Source organism: Homo sapiens, chromosome 9, assembly GCF_000001405.40.
Source record: "Homo sapiens chromosome 9, GRCh38.p14 Primary Assembly".
NCBI lineage: Eukaryota > Metazoa > Chordata > Mammalia > Primates > Hominidae > Homo > Homo sapiens.
The window spans coordinates 18,790,878-18,807,091 of NC_000009.12; the positions used below are offsets into that span (position 1 = coordinate 18,790,878).

The 16,214-nt window shown below is 40.6% G+C and overlaps 1 protein-coding gene and 1 long non-coding RNA gene across 17 annotated transcripts in view; one reads left to right on the top strand and one right to left on the bottom strand.

The window, feature by feature from the left end:
• ADAMTSL1 (ADAMTS like 1) overlaps positions 1 to 16,214 on the top strand; it is a 1,004,318-nt gene that overhangs the window by 884,245 nt on the left and 103,859 nt on the right. For all 16 annotated transcript variants that reach the window (XM_011518064.4, XM_017015312.3, XM_011518063.3 and 13 more), the window contains one exon: positions 4,520 to 4,647. In XM_011518064.4, coding sequence (XP_011516366.1) covers positions 4,520 to 4,647 — 128 coding nt within the window. The remainder of the gene's footprint in view (positions 1 to 4,519; positions 4,648 to 16,214) is intronic.
• On the bottom strand, positions 5,890 to 9,765 carry LOC124902127 (uncharacterized). Its single transcript, XR_007061429.1, has 3 exons — positions 9,713 to 9,765; positions 8,363 to 8,536; positions 5,890 to 6,634 (listed from the first exon to the last, which is right to left on the bottom strand). It is a non-coding gene; the product is annotated as an uncharacterized LOC124902127 (long non-coding RNA).

Below are 16,214 nucleotides of genomic sequence, written 5' to 3' on the forward strand. Positions count from 1 at the left end.
CATGACCACAGTACCACTTGCTATGTAGGTCTTAATTGTACCCATTCTATGTCCCCACATCCTCTGGTTCCATAAATTCCAAAACAGCTCCAAAGGAATCCTATAGGTTTTGTTTGGAAAGCAGCCCTATGTTTCTCTGCCTGCTCATTCTAAAGCAAGCCTATCAAATTTGGAAACTAAATATAAACTGACAGAAATCAGCAACTAGCGAATTAAGCTAAATTAATAGAGTAGACTACTGAAATACAAAGAAAATGTTTTTTTCCAGGAATCTCTCTCTCTAGTCGCCAGGCTAGGTAAACTGAAGCAAGCCTCCGTCTCTGCAGCAAGCCTTTCCTTTGCCTGGCGGTGCTTCCCAGAGAGCCCTGCATGGGACCCCCCTCCAGAACTACTGCTCCGCCTAGTGGCAGCCTTCAAGCCTTCATCTACCAATTTTATGGGCATATTGTATGTATAATAACAGGAGTCAAATCCTCCCCCATCCCTGAAAGGACTTATGTCTTAGTGGATTTTAAGAGAGAGGGAAATAACATGCAAATGGGCCAAATGTACAAAGAACACACTGTGGGCAGCTTTCTAATTACAAGAAGAAAGCACGACTAAACAGTTGAGTCTTATGGTGGTCCCAAAGGGATTATAGGGTGGAAAAAAAAAAGTGCTGGACCAAAAACATGAGATTCTACTTCAAATCCTGACTCTGCCCCCAAATAACTATGTACCCTTGAGCTAGACAGTTCCATTTTATAAATATAAGTGACTTTTATAAGTATACACAATAAGTGAGAAATTCAGGCTTTCTCCCATGTAGATTCTGTCTTAAGACAATATTTAAGACTGTTTTTATGAAAATAAATACTACAGTTTCTCTATCTATGTATATAGTGTTTATGGAATAATAGACTATACAAACGCTAAATCTCATGATCTACATGTCACCGTTTCCATTGCCGCTACTCCTATTCTAGTTCAAATCCTTACCACTCTGTGCCCTCTGTGATGGATCACCTCCCTTCCTTTCATCAGCCTTGTAGGAATTCTTTTCCAGGCTTCAGACATGGGCAGAAAGCATGGTGGCTTACTTAGTGCCTGGAGAAACCAGTGTAACTATAAAAACTAACCCCCACCTAAAAATAAATGGGCCAGGGTAGGAGAGGGTTACATCCTCTGCCTGAAATCAGACAGGTGCAGTAGTTGTATGCAAAAAAAAAATGATTCTAATATGGAGATCTAATAAGTTGCCTAGGGGAAACTGGCCAATATCATGTGCCCCTCTCACTCCTTCCTCACAATTTCCTCATCCTCCCTCCTCCCTCATGGTTAATTTGCCATTCAGAGTGTGCAGCATTACCAAGAAAAGAGTCATTGGAAATACCAAAAGAGGATCTAGAAATTCCTTATATACCCCAGTTTAACAATTCCCTCTGATGAGCAGGAAAACAGACTTCAACTGGATTTTAGAAGTTGGTAAACTGAAATAGAGGAAGATAATGAGATTTGCCAATGGCCATTACTTAAATCATAGTAGGACCAAAACAAAGTTCAGAAGAACTATCTTCTAGCCTCCTGCTGCGAGTGTCCAAGAACCGTTTTCTGTAGGGACAAGGGAGATGTTTCCAGTGCCAGGGAGCCAGCTACCCTAATGGGTTTGGGAACTTAGCATATTTTAATTTCTACCTTTGCCATGTGGTGAAATTGAATAGTGATCTTCTGAGTTCCATCATTCTCAGTTCTATTGAAACTTGACTAAGCCTGCTTTCATTATTATTTAGAATTTTTGTGAAAGCATAAATATTCCTGGGACATCCTAAAGCTTTAAATCATAAAGTTGATTTTTAATTTTCTAATCTAAAACAGCTTGAACACCTGAAGAGACTTAGCAATGATATTACATTATGTTGCATCTGATAAGATTCCTTCAGGAAACAGTCATACTATGATCTAAAATATTGTATGGTTTACCAAAGATAAGTAAATTGTATAGTCATCTTTCTCTTATTAGCTTCTTCGAAATAAACTAACATGTAATTGTTTGACTTTGAGAAAAAAGCAACTAATGTTTGATGGATGAGTGAATGAATGGTTGGATGAGCCATAACACAATCTCTCAGTGAATGTATGGGTGGATGAGCTATATCACAAGCTCTCAGAGGCTTCCTTTCATCCCTCACAATGTTTCAGCTCTAGTTGAATGCCACAAAACTTGAGGGTCTCCAGTAATAGTGGTGATGATCTGGAATAGCACTAAATCAAGCACAAATCATTCAAAAACTTCCTTTAACTAAGGTGTCTATTTCCTTCCCCATTTTACTAGAGCTGCCCATATATAACTCGATTGATTGATGGAAGCCTTACTTCTACTTCCTGCCTTTCCTCTGACAGGAGGTAAGAATAAGCAATGTAGTAGGCCCAAGGCCAAAAGCTGAGCTGAGGAGATCTCATTCACTGCCAGACTGGTCACCCACCTCAGAATAATTGACAGCTGATTAGAAGTGGTGCTGAAATGCAAATGTCATACAGCCTGGAGAGACCCGGCAAGGGAAATAGTGAGGAAAGAATTGTATAGTGGGAGAGTGTTGCTGGGGCAGACCTGACTTCCAGGCTTAATCTTACCACAGAGTCTTAATGAGTTCTCCCCACATTTCTGTTGTTTCCCCACCCTCTCACTTTCTTGAAAAACAACCCCTATTAACTGCTTACCTCCTAGGGAAGGATGCTAGCATAATATTGGGTGAACAGTTTTTTGAAGCTTTTGAAACTAGGGAGGTTAAAAAATCACAAAGCTAGAAATGACTAGCTTCAGGATCCCCAAAACTGGCTACTGAGCCATTTCTGTGCTATCAAATAAACTGTCAACCTAAAGTACCTGTCAGGTCTAGGCACCGGATCTCTGAGCTTCTGAGCTTCTCCATTGTCCCTCCAACCCTTCTAGATTCCCTCCTCCACATACACATTCCAGTTATCAGCCAGCCTCACTAAGTCACCAAGACATCAGGTTCAAGTGATCGTTAGTCATTAATTAAGCTGCCATAATGTCACAGGTACTTTCTAGAAATGGCATAAATCTAGAAAAGAAAAAACAGACTTGGGTGGAGTGGGTTTGAAGCTCACTGTAGGCACTCACAGTTTGATTCTTTTAAGTCTTTTCAGATTAAAAAAAAAAAAGTCTGAAGTAGACTGTGATTATTCTGGAATTTTCTCTCCATGACCTTGAAGGGCAAGTTTTGACTTTATTCTACTGGGAACCTACTCTACAGAGAGTCCCCTGTAGTAGTGGGGAAAATAAAAGCAATAAATAAGACCTGAAGAGGATCACATGAGCCCAGGAGTTCAAGACCAGCCTGGGCAACTTGGCAAGACCCTATCTTTACGCAAAATTTAAAAATTAGCTGGGAATGGTAGTGCACCCCTGTGGTCTCAGCTACACAGGAGGCAGAGGTGGGAGGACTGCTTAAGCCCAGGAGTTCAAGACTGCAGTGAGCTGTGTTTGTGCCTCCACACTCGTGGGTGACAGAGCAAGACCCTGTCTCAAAAAAAAAAAACAAAAACAAAAACAAAAAAAAACAAACCTGAGTTTTGTGCCCCATAAGATTTACAGCTAAATAAAGACAATAGATGTATATATGACTACACAGCGGCTGTGACACAGAATTTCCTTCAAATATGTGTAAGATCCTCTCAATATGCAATTCTTGGCTTTTTCTCTTCTACCTGCAAACCTGAACAGATGTCTGTCTGGTTGTTTTTTGTTGTTTTTTTTTGTTGTTGTTGTTTTTTGAGACAGAGTCATGCTCTGTGTCCCAAGCTGGAGTACAGTGGGGCAATCTCAGCCCACTACAACCTCTGCCCCCCACGTTCAAGTGATTCTCTCACCTCAGCCTCCCAAGTAGCTGGGATTATAGGCATACACCCCCATGCCCAGATAATTTTATTATTTTTGTAGTTTTAGTAGAGACGGAGCTTTGCCATGTTGGCCAGGCTGTTCTTGAACTCCTGGTCTCAGGTGATTTGCCCGCCTCAGCCTCCCAAAGTGCTGGGATTATAGGCATGAGCCATGGTGTCTGGCCAAGATGTCTGTCTTGATCTCTGGAAGCCCTACGTTCTTTCAACCATCCAACCAAGCTCCACTTCTCTTTTGTAACTTTGCTTTTTCCTTAATAAGCCTTCCCCAAATCTATCTGTACCGTTTGTTCTAGCATCCCCCCTTCCCCCGGATATCTGTGTGTGTTATATGTATTTGGTGCACATATGTTGTCTGGTCCAGCTGGTAGCATTTAGATCAAGTAATCCACAGGCTGCAAAGGCAATGGGAAACCTCCTTATTTGAGATCACTACCACAGTCACATTAATCAAAGAGGCAAGAGAGCACAGGTTCTTGATTGTCCTTGTAGCTGGTTTGTCTCTGTTGTTAAAACAGGGTTCTGCATACACCCTGAGGTTCCTTCCTGCCTTACCAATATTGAATGCCAAAAAGGAGTCAACTGACTTGACCAGGTCTATATTTCTTTTCTGTCGCTCCAGGATTCTTCTACAGCCAGATGATTCCTTACAGATCTTGGCACCAGTGGAAGCAGATGTGGGTTTCTACACTTGCAATGCCACCAATGCCTTGGGATACGACTCTGTCTCCATTGCCGTCACATTAGCAGGTAACCCAAAAATCCCTGTTCTGTTCATTTCATAAACCTTTATTGAATGAGTGCCTATAGTGTGTCAAACAGGCCCAGAGATGCATAGATAAAGGAGACCCAGATCCCATCTTCAGGGAGTTTGTAATCTATAATTACAACAGCAGTGTAGTATGAGGTAGAATGAAGTGCTATAACTGATAACCAAATAGTATGCAAGGACAGTACATTCCTGCCAGGAGGTCTTAGGGTTGCAATGAGTGGAATTTTGATAAGAGACAGGGATATTTCATGCAGAAAGAATAATGTGAGCAAAGGTGATGTGTGCAAATCAGTAGCATGTTGGAACATGAATTGTGAATTATAATCATTGAAGACTCTTTTGGATCCTGTCATCTCCTTGTTCCACCTGTTGCAAGAAAGACTACGACCCATAAATAATTGGAATTCTGTGGTCATGGCTTGAAGCAGGAGTGTTCCCCAGTACTTCTCTCTGAGTCTGCTTTATTTCATCCTCTTGCTCTAATGCACTGCCAACATTCCCCTTTATCCATTGAGGTTAGACAATACATTCTGCACATGGTGACTTAAGAACATTGCAACTCAGAGTACCATGTCTCCCATAGTTGTGGTCTTGTAGTAAAAGACATGTAGAGCTTTTATAAAACCTCTTTGCATAGGACAAACCCATGCCTTTGAAACGGAAAGAGAACTTAGATACCAGCTGGACCAAGGCCCTTGTTTCTCAGAGGCCAGGCAACCCGAGGTCACACAGCTGCTCTGCTAGTGGCGGGGGAAGAAGGGAACTGGAGTCTCCTAACTCCCAGCTCATTGTTCTCCCTACTTCCCCACTGATCTGAGAAAATAGGATCCATCCTCTCAGATCTGGGCCATCCAGTCTTTGTGGCTGTGTTGCATGTGTTTGTATTTATTCTTTTCAATTGCTGCTCTCATCAGATGATTCAGTAGATGCTAGAAAAGCCAACATCACCCCACACTGACTTCATCTGTCCCTGCCAGGATTATGTTGTCATACTGTACTCCAGTCACACATGCTACCCCCTTGCATATCTGTTTAGCAACAGTATTCCTGCCCCCATGACTTCAGGCTGATCTGGGAAGGGACCCTTAGCAGGCGGCTTTGCGGGGAAGATCAAAGTCAACAATGAAGAAGGCAATTTAAGGAGCCCTGGGCCGGATTAAAGACTGATATTATTAATGCCTATTTTTTGTGAATAAAACATTTGCTTTTCTTCTAATGTATTCCAGTTGCAATCTTTATTCCCCTCTTTATACAGAGTCCAGATGCTCAGCACCAATCTTGTTAAATCTCTCCTGCCATCCACCCTCCAACCTGCTTTAGCAAGGGCACTGCTGACATCTTTCCACTTGCTGGCAGATAGTGGCTCTTGCAGGATTAATTCTCTTGTTTATATTAATCCAGATATGGTTCAGCTCTATCACAGACTAAATGCCCTTTGTTCACCCGAATTTAATACGATTAATAGAAACCTGTCTGGAATTAAGCAAGGCAATTGTAACATCAGGCTTGCCTTCAGCTCTTTGAAGAGGGGTTATTGGAGGCTGCCAACAAGTTCAAAGCCAGGGAAGAGAGACAGAGCAGCCAAAGAGGCACCAGGGAAGGGGAGGAGAGGGGCTGCCTGGTGAAGTATGACTACAGACACCACACCCAGGGCATAGGGAGCTGCATCCTTGCACCTTAGCTGCTAGGGTTTGTATAGGTCTGCTGGAAAGTCTATCAAGCAGTCCCTCTAAAAACAAAGGCTCAAATGTACATTGCCTTAAGACTGTATTTGTACCCTTACCTGAGTTTATCATCCACACCTGTGCCAATGTCTACACTCACAGTGTTAGGTGGTTCACCAGCTCCTGTTGTGAGCACACCCTCTGCCACATGTTGTGGAACCTACAGCAATAAATAAAACCTGTGTTTTGTGGTCCCTGATGCTTACAGAGGAGTGAAGGCAAGCGATGGATACCCGGCTACCTAGAATTGGGAGAAAGTTGCAATTTACTTCAAATGTATGCATGGAGACCCTGCTTAGTAGGTTATAAGATATAATCTGAACATAAATTAAATTGGAGGGGTGGGGGTGAATGAGTATCAGGCATTTCTAAGTTTTATTGCCAGTTATACTCCTTATTAGCTGTGTGATCTTGGACAAAGTATATAACCTCATTGAGTCTCTGTTCTCATCTGTAAAAATTTAACTAACATTATTTTACAGGGTTGTTGTGAGGTTAAGTAAGATTGCACGTGTGAAAAAGCACTTAACCCAATGCCAGGCACATTGTTCATACTCAATAAATGTAAGCCTCCTTTCTTTCTCTAGCTCTTCTAGAGTGAAACAACCTGAAAACAATTCTAAAATGTGCAAACCATTATCCCAACTCTGCTTCCATGTATCTTTCAGTATGTGTCTTAACACTGAGATTTTTCAAGTATGAACTTAGAAACTGATTCAGTTCACTTGCAGTCAAATCCTCTTGATGAATCTCAGCACTACTATGTTTTTATGGAAACTGCAGGGGTTTTTTCCTGGACTTTAGTATTAATGTAGGCCAAAGAGGAAAAAAAAAAAAAACTTTGAGCCTCAAGATAATCAAGTGTCCCCATGATTTTATAAGGAAAGTATGGACTTGTGTGTTGCCAGTGTGCCTGCATTTACCAGATGCAGGGAAATTTGTTCATAATGATTCACAAAAGCAGGCATAGCATGGCAGTTAAAATCATGGGCTCTGGAGCCTTAGGGTCTAGGTCTGTATCCTGGCTCTGTCACTTCCTAAGTGTAACCTTGAGCAACGTCTTTATACTCACTGACTCAATTTCTTCATCTGGAAAGTGGTGCTAATAACAGCACCTGACTCAGAAAGTTCTCATGGAGATTAAATGCAATCATTCATAAAAAATGTTTATAATTGTGGCTGGCATGTAGCAGGCACTCAATATTTGTTAGCTATTATTATTGAGAGAATAATACATACAACAAAAGCCAACTTATGTTTACAGTGGGAGAGACTCCTTTTCAGGGACCAGGATGCTCACAAACCCTTTGTAGAGCAGCTCTCTGAATGTCTCAGTGTCAAATAGGGAAGCTAGATTAGCCATCTGGAAAGTACTTGGGGTGCCTGGATTCAGAGCAAGGGAGATGGCTTGTGATGAATATTTCACGTGGGCAACAGAGAGAGACGCCTGATGGGCTCTCCCTGGCCCACAGCAAGATGCCTGCCATTGAGTTTGCCCCGTCCCGTAGATCTGGTGTCTTGCCAATTCTGCCTCTCAGATTCATTTCAGTTCTACTTCTTATTCTGTACACAAGTTTTCTTTGAACATGTAAACACCATTTAGTTTTAGACATAGAATACAGCCAAACCTTCCTTGCTCTGCCCTGTTTGGCCTATAAAATACTGTCTTTTGTGCCTTTTGCTCCTCTCTAAACTCTTCCATTACGTGCTGATTTTATCTTTAAGTCTCAGGGATTTGGGAGTACCTTGCAAGTGTCTCTCAGCATGGAGATGGCCAGTGTTTCCCTCCCTACCTCCCTGGAACAGCCCATGGAACTCACAGCCATTTAGACCAAATGGCACAAAATTCCTCCCTCTAAATTCACTTAGCTGGATGCCTGTTTCACTGCTCCAAGTGTAGATGAAAGTAGCTTAGGAGGGGAGGATTGCAGGGAGGAGATTATAGGAATGTCACCAAAATGTCACATACCTAACACTTTGAAGTATTAATTACTTTGTGTTCAGGAATAAACAGGGCTAGGTAAAGGAGAGTCTCTGATGTGTGCAGACATAAGCACAGAGATTGGAGAATCATCTTGGCTGTTAAATTCAGCACTCAGCCATCTTGCTCAGAAATCTTCCAAATCCGAATGGCCTAGGCAAACTTTTGAAGGAAAGGAAGTAGTTTCCAGGTAAATTGCTTCAGTCTGGATCCGTGGAGTTTAGCTGTACTTACCAATGCAGATAAGGGCCTCTCCAGGTATGGAGCATTGGTGAGGTCATCGACAAAAGGGAAACATTTTTGGTTGTTATTGATTTTATAAGATCACAAAAGAGATACTGTAAGGCCTGCCTGACATCATCAATGGGAAATGAGAATAAGATGAGGGCTGAGGGATGAGTGTATCTTTCATTGAAAGGAGAGAACACAGATGAGCTCATCTGACATTTTCACAGGAAGGGAGAGACAGAAAATATTTCTCCTTTCCTAGCATGTTTTTTTGCTCTTTATGAGTTGAATAACTGATACACATTGTGTCTAATAAAGAGATCACAGAAACCTCACTGGGAAAATAAAAATAAAAGGCAATCATTTTTTAAAATTCTTCTTCCTCTGTCCCTCCCCATCATGATTTAGTAGCTACAATAAAAGACAAGTGATTGTGTAAGCTTATCATAATGTAAGTCACTTCAAATTAGCATTTCTGAATTTTTCACCCAGCAGTTCTGTTAACAAAGGAGAGTTTTGCTTCATAAAGAGTTAGGCTCACAGAGGACCTAGTCAACAATACAAAGGCTAACAAAGGAAGATTTGCTCCCATGCACTAGATCAAAAGGAAAAGTGGCCCAGGCACGGTGGCTCATGCCTGTAATCCCAGCACTTTGGGAGGCTGAGGCGGGCAGATGGCCTGAAGTCAGGAGTTTGAGACCAGCCTGGCCAACATGGCAAAACCCCATCTCTACTAAAAATATAAATATTAGCCATGTGTGGTGGCAAGCGCCTGTAATCCCAGCTACTCAGAAGGCTGAGGCAGGAGAATCGCTTGAACCCGGGAGGTAGAGGTTGCAGTGAGCCAAGACCATGCCACTGTACTCCAGCCTGGGCAACAAGAGGAAAACTCCATCTCAAAAAAAAAAAAAAAAAAAAAAAAAAAGGAAAAATGGACAGGTTTGACTGTTCTCTGGGCCACATGGTAATAGCGACTGACTGATCTAAGCTGCCATCAAGGAGATTTCAATATCTGATAGAATACTGAATAGCTAAGACCCTTAAGTTTTTCTCAGTAAGTACAGATGTAGAGAATGCCCACCAAAGACCCCAAGCTTTCATAGAACTTACTTAAAACTGATGAGAGTATAGCAGGAGAATCTCACTGAGCTCCCCAGTTGACTAGAGGAAATAAAAAAGAAAGTATAAGTGGTCCAAGTTGGCACATCTCAGTCTCAAAAAAGCAATTCCAACATCTATTCAATGGAATGCAGGAAGGATGGTGGTTGGACAGGTGGTGGGATATACCACATCCTTGGTTAGTGGTTTCTAGAGAGGCCGCAGCATCACGTGGCTGTACTAAGTATGGGGTCCCTTGGCTAGGACTCTGTAGTGGAACATGCGAAGAATTTGTGGCAGAACCACTTCTGGCCTTATTCTACTTAGACGCCATCAACATCAATTAAATAATTAGAAGAGGTAATGGTAGTAATCTGAGCAACCTGACCCACTGACATTGGCAAAAAAATATCTGAATATTGAAAGAGAATGGTAATGGAAACAAGGATATGAGAAGGAAGGCATGCAGCCTGGGAATGTCTGGGAAAAGGCAGTCTAAGCCCTACCTACTTCCTCAAGTGCTAAGGGCCCTGTAATATTTATGCTGAAGGCGTGCCAACTAAACAGAATTTCAAGGGCACAAAAATTCTAATTCCTTCTCATCTTTTATGCAAGGCAATTAATTAGTAGTCACAATGTTGACCCTAAAAAACAAAGACAGGCAAAATCAGGTTAAAACTATTTTTTCAGCTTTATTGAGATATAATGTACATATCACAAAATTCTTTGTGAATGTGCAATTTAGAGATTTATTTAGCAAACTTATATAGTTATGTAACCATTACTATAAAGTTCTTTACCTTTTTTGAACTTTTAGGTTCAGGGGTTGAATCTCCAGGTTTTTTATACAGGTAAACTCATGTCACAGGGATTTGTTGTACAGATTATTTCATCACCCAGGTACTCAGCCTAGTACCCAATAGCTATTTTTTCAGCTCCGCTCTCTCCTCCCACTCTCCACCCTCAAGTAAGCCCCAGGGTCTGTTGTTCCCCCTTCTTCGTGTTCATGAATTCTCATCATTTAGTTCCCACTTATAAGTGAGCACATGCAGTACTTGGTTTTCTGTTCCTGTATTAGTTTGCCTCCAGCTCCATCCATGTTCCTGCAAAAGACATGATCTTGTTCCTTTTTATGGCTGCATAGTATTCCATGATGTATATATACCATGTTTTCTTTAGCCAGTCTGTCATTGATTGGCATTTAGGTTGGCTCCATGTCTTTGCTATTGTGAAGAGTGCTGCAGTGAACATTTGTGTGTGTGTGCCTTTATGATAGAATGATTTTATATTCCTCTGGGTATATACCTAATAATGGGTTCTTTACTTTTAACAGCTTTATCAAGGCATAATTAACATACCATAAAACTCACCCACTTAAAGTATACAATTCAACAGCTTTTCATATATTCAGAGTTGTGGCCGGGCACAGTGACTCATGCCTGTAATCCCAGCACTTTGGGAGCCTGAGGTGGAAGAATCGCTTGATCCCCAGGAATTCAAGACCAGCCTGGGCAACAGAGAGAAATCCCATCTCTACAAAAATAAAAATCAACACAGGTGTGGTGGCACATACCTGTGGTCCCAGCTACATGGGAGGCTGAGGCAGGAGGATAGCTTGAGCCTAGGAGGTTGAGGCTGCAGTGAGCCAATACCACTGCACTCCAGCCTGAGTGCCAGAGTAAGACCCTGTCTCCAAAAACAAAAAAAACAGGAGTTGTGCATCCATCACCACACTCAATTTTAGAACATTTTTATTATCCCTAAAATAAACTCCACACTCTTAGCTACTACTCCCTAATCCTCCCATTTCTTTCAGCTCTATGCAACCACTAATATACTTTAAATCTCCATAAATCTACCTAATCTTGATATTTTATATAATTAGAATCATACAGTATATGGTTCTTTATTTCTTCTTTCACTTAGCATAAAGTTTTCAAGATTTATCCATGTCGTAGCATTATTCTTGTTTATGGTAGAATAATATTCCATTGTATAGAATAGACCACATTTTATTTCTCCATTCATCAGGTGATGGGCATTTGGGATGTTTCTACTTTTTGGCTATTATGAATAAAGCTGCTATGAAGATTCACGTACATGTTTTTATGTGGACATATTTTTTATTTCTCTTGGTTATACACACCTAGGAGTGAAATTTCTGGGTTGTTTGGCGCATTTATGTTTACTATTGAAGAAAGTGCCAACTATGTTTCAAAGAGACTGCACCACTTTACATTTCCACCAGCAATGTAGGATAGTTCAGTTTCTCCATATTCTCACCAACAGTTGTTTTCATCTATCATTTTAATTACAGCCAGCCTCATGAGCGTGAAGTAGTACTTTATTGTGATTTAAATTACATTTTAATATTGACTAATGATGTCAGGCATCTTATGTGTTTATGAGTCATTTACGTGTCTTCTTTGTTGTGGTGACAACTTTGGTGATGTAGAAGGTGTATATGGCCTGCGTATTTGCTTTTGCTGCCATAACAAATAACCACATACTTAGAGACTTAAAGCAATACAAATACCTTACAGTTCTGTAGGTCAGAAGTCTAATACAGTCTCATCAAGATGTCAACAGGCTTTATCCCTTTCCGAAGGCTCTAAAAGAGAATCCTTTTCCTCTCCATTTGAGTTGTTGGCAGAATTTAGTTCTGTGAAACTTAGGTCTATGGTCTGTGTTTTCTTGCTGGCTATAATCTGAGTGCCATTTCCAGCTTCTAGAAGCCACTGAATTCCTTGGCTCATGGTTTCCTTCCTCCATCTTCACAACCAGCAATGGAGGGCTGAGTTTTCATGTTGCCCAACTCTGATATTAAGAGCTCACATGATTAGACTGGGCCTACCTTGATAACTTAGAATAATCTCCCCATTTTAGGTTCAGCTGATTAGCAATGTTAATTCTTCCTTAGCCATGTCACAGGTTCCAGGGATTATGACATAAACATCTTGGAAGGTCATTATTCCGCCCACCTGTCTGAAGGGCACAGCTCATTTTCATCTGACTGCTATCCCCCAAAAATAAAAATTTAATGTTGCTAGACTTTCTCACGATTTTAGAGACACCAAACCAAAAAATGTTTAAAAACAACACTTTTTTTTAACTCACCATTTTTAACTGAACTAATTCAAATTTTTAAAAATCCTTTTTTGGGTAAACATGTCTGTGCTCTGAATATAGCCTTGAGGCTACCAATACCCCCTGGTTTGTATTTCATTTTCTATATTATCTGCTCATATATTACACCTCACTTTCCAGATAGAGTCAGAGTGTTATTCAAAGGGTAATCACAATTTATTTGATTAGATTATTCCAACAAAAACAATGTAATAATTTGGATGGAAGGGGAACAATTATTTTTTACTATTACTAAGAAGCCTACTGTAATAATAGAATAAGTAAGATTCTAGGGAAAGTTTTTGCTTCATTGCCAAATTTAGAAGCAGAATAGGACTATGAACCTCTTTCCCGTTATAAACAGAGGGATTTAAATAGCTGCTCTCTTGGGTCTCTTTTAGACCCAAGAGTTCTATGAATCTCTTGCACATATAATAATGAATGATAGCATTCTCTACCATGACTATCAACTATTAACTCCCTTTACCTGAAATTCTGACGTTGAAAATTGACTCTGTTGTATTTTGGGGAATGGAAGACTAGATGGCAAAGAAGTAGTACAGCTTTTGTGATGAAGTCTTGCAAGAATAACAAATGAAAGGAAAATGTCTCAGAGAACTGGTGAAGACAAAGGGTACAGGGTAAATAGAGCTGACTATTGGTCAAATGCTGACTCAGGAGGCTGGAAATAGATGTAAAGGAGGCCTTGCAAGAAGGTCAGCAGGGAGTTAAAAACTCCTGCACTATAAAATGCAAAAGACATTGGGAAGGAAAACTAGACTAAGAAAAGATCTTGCATGTTAATATAACTATTATTTGTAACAAAGCAACTCTTATGGGAATTGTCAGGTAGTGAGATCCAGAAAAGCTTCTGGCCAGCAAGGAATAGTAATGGAACATTAATATTCAGAATCCATTATTACTAATATCAGATGGATAAGATATTGTTGGTATTTATAAGGGTTTTCCTAGCTCATGCTGATTTTAGTCCCTCAAAGTTTATTTGACTCATGAGTCTTAAATTCTTCAACTGGAAATTTTCATTTCAGAGAAAATTTGAAGATTTAATTCCAGTGATCCTTGTGAGAAACCTGTGACAATTCTAGTATAAGCAGAGTCTAGCATTTCTTAAGACGTTTCTTTGATATACTCACTCTTTGTAAGGTATTGTTCATTGATTAAATCTGGATTAAATACAATTTGCTCAGTTTAGGGTGTTAAAAATGTGTTAAATTTATAATACTTCATTGCTTTAAACTAAAATATTACCTTATACTGTACTCAAATATTGCTGTATACTCAAATATTTTAATTAGTAGACATCACTGTCTTTTTTGTGTTTTAAACTGATATTTGGATCTTCCATGGATATCACAACTGTTTTCTTGAACTCTAATGGGGGTCACCCAGGGAGTCAATCTGGCATATGTTGTTTCCTAGCATTTCTAGAAGTGGGTACTTTTTGGAATCTTCAACAAGGCCAGCCATGGTGTGACTTTTAAGCTCTCCGCATCTGTCCAGATATTGTTACCAGTTTACAAAGAATCTGTTGTATTTAAATTATTTCTTCTAATTACACTGGAATTCTCAGAGTTGTTCAAAATAGAAGCAGTTTAGTTCTTTCTAACAAATGTATTACCTCTCCTCTTACCTGTCTTCCTCTTTCTTTTCTTTAACGTTTTGCTTTCTGTGTTTTCTGTATTCATCAGAAGGTCCCAGCACTGCTCCTCACAGAGTTTTGCCATTGTGTTATAGCAGAGATAGTGCTGGTGATAGCTAGCATTTATTCAAACTTCCTGCTGTGCTAAGCCGTTGTTCTTACAGCTTTGCATGCATCCATTTACTTACTCCTCTCAGCCACTGTAGAAGTAGAAAACTGAGGCACAGAATTTAAATAACTTGCCTAAGGGTACTTAGCTATACTATGCAGAGATGAGCTCGGGACACCTAACCTGTAGACAGCCCTTTCTCCTGCCCCTGCCCCTGCCCCCTGCAGGCATCACTAGCTCATCGTGTGTTTTTGCTCTTCAGCCCTTATGAATGTAACTCGGAATCCGTATCTGCACAGTACTCCAGGAAAACTCTGTCAGTCATTAGATTTGGCTTCAGGATCTCAAACCTGTTTGCTGTTCGTGGGCCCTTTCTGAAGCTCTCATGAAATCTCCAAACCTGCCAAATCTGCCCAGCCTGCGGTCCTTGTGTCTGTTGTTGCCCCGTTTCCATTTATCTTCCACAAGTCTCTCTTCACCCTGAGAATGAATACACATGCACACCTCCTAGCCTAAACTGCCTTAGCCAAACAGAGAATCTAAGTCCTTGAAGTACAACTCATTTTTGATGGCAAAGACTAGGGGAAATTATTTTGAAGTATATTCGTGACTTACAATGTTAAAGGAATGGAAGGAAGACCCATTGGATCCATCCATTCAGGGTCAACAAACGTTCATTAAGCCTGGGTTAAATGGCACTTACTAACTGTTACAGAAAAACAAACCTATAAATATATGATGGGTAAAATATGATAGTTTATTTCTTGCTCACATAAAGTCTAAAAGAATTGCACAACAGAGTTTTTGTACTTTGGGCCAAGAAGTGGCACACTTCACGTCTGTTCATGTTCCATCTGCTAGAACTCAGTTCCATGCTCATAGCTAACTGCAAAAAGGCTGGAAAATTATCTAGCTGTGTGCACAGGAAGAAGAGGAAAAGGGTTTGGCTGATAGCAAGTCACTCTCTGCCATGGCTTCTAAAATGGAAGGCGGCATGGCAGTTTAAACAAAGTTTCTATTAGCAGAGGCCTGGGATTCAGCCCTGAGTAAACAGTGCTTACAATGCTCTCTACTCTTGGCTTCATTCAAAAAACAAACTTTCCATCTCCTCTGGCTTCTCTCTCAATCACCTTTATATTAGGCCAAAGATATTTTTCAAACACATATGTTCAGATTTTTTCCCACTGAATTTTGATTTTACCCCAAATCACATAGGAGAGAGACCTGAGCCAGAGCCCAGACTATGTGCAAGAATGGATTTCTGAGCATTGCTCCAGGGGTTACTCATCTGTCCCTGCCTGTCTCTCCAGAGGTCCTCATCCTTCAGGATCAAAATGGTGCCTGGTTGGCTGAACACTTCTGTTTTAAAGGCATCACAAGGCCATGCTCCTTCCTTAATGGCCTTCACATCCTTGGATGCTGACGTACGAGTTTTAGCCATATGTCAGGCTCTCCTGTTGTGTAAGAGCTGCCCTCGTTTACTGTGAGGCTCTATTTCCCCTGTTACATTACTTCTAACAGGAACTATAATCCAAAAGCTGTACTGTGGGTACAATGAGGTCTGAAGGAACCGTGCAAAAATGATTCTTGTAATGCTTCTGTTTCTGTGTCTGACTATC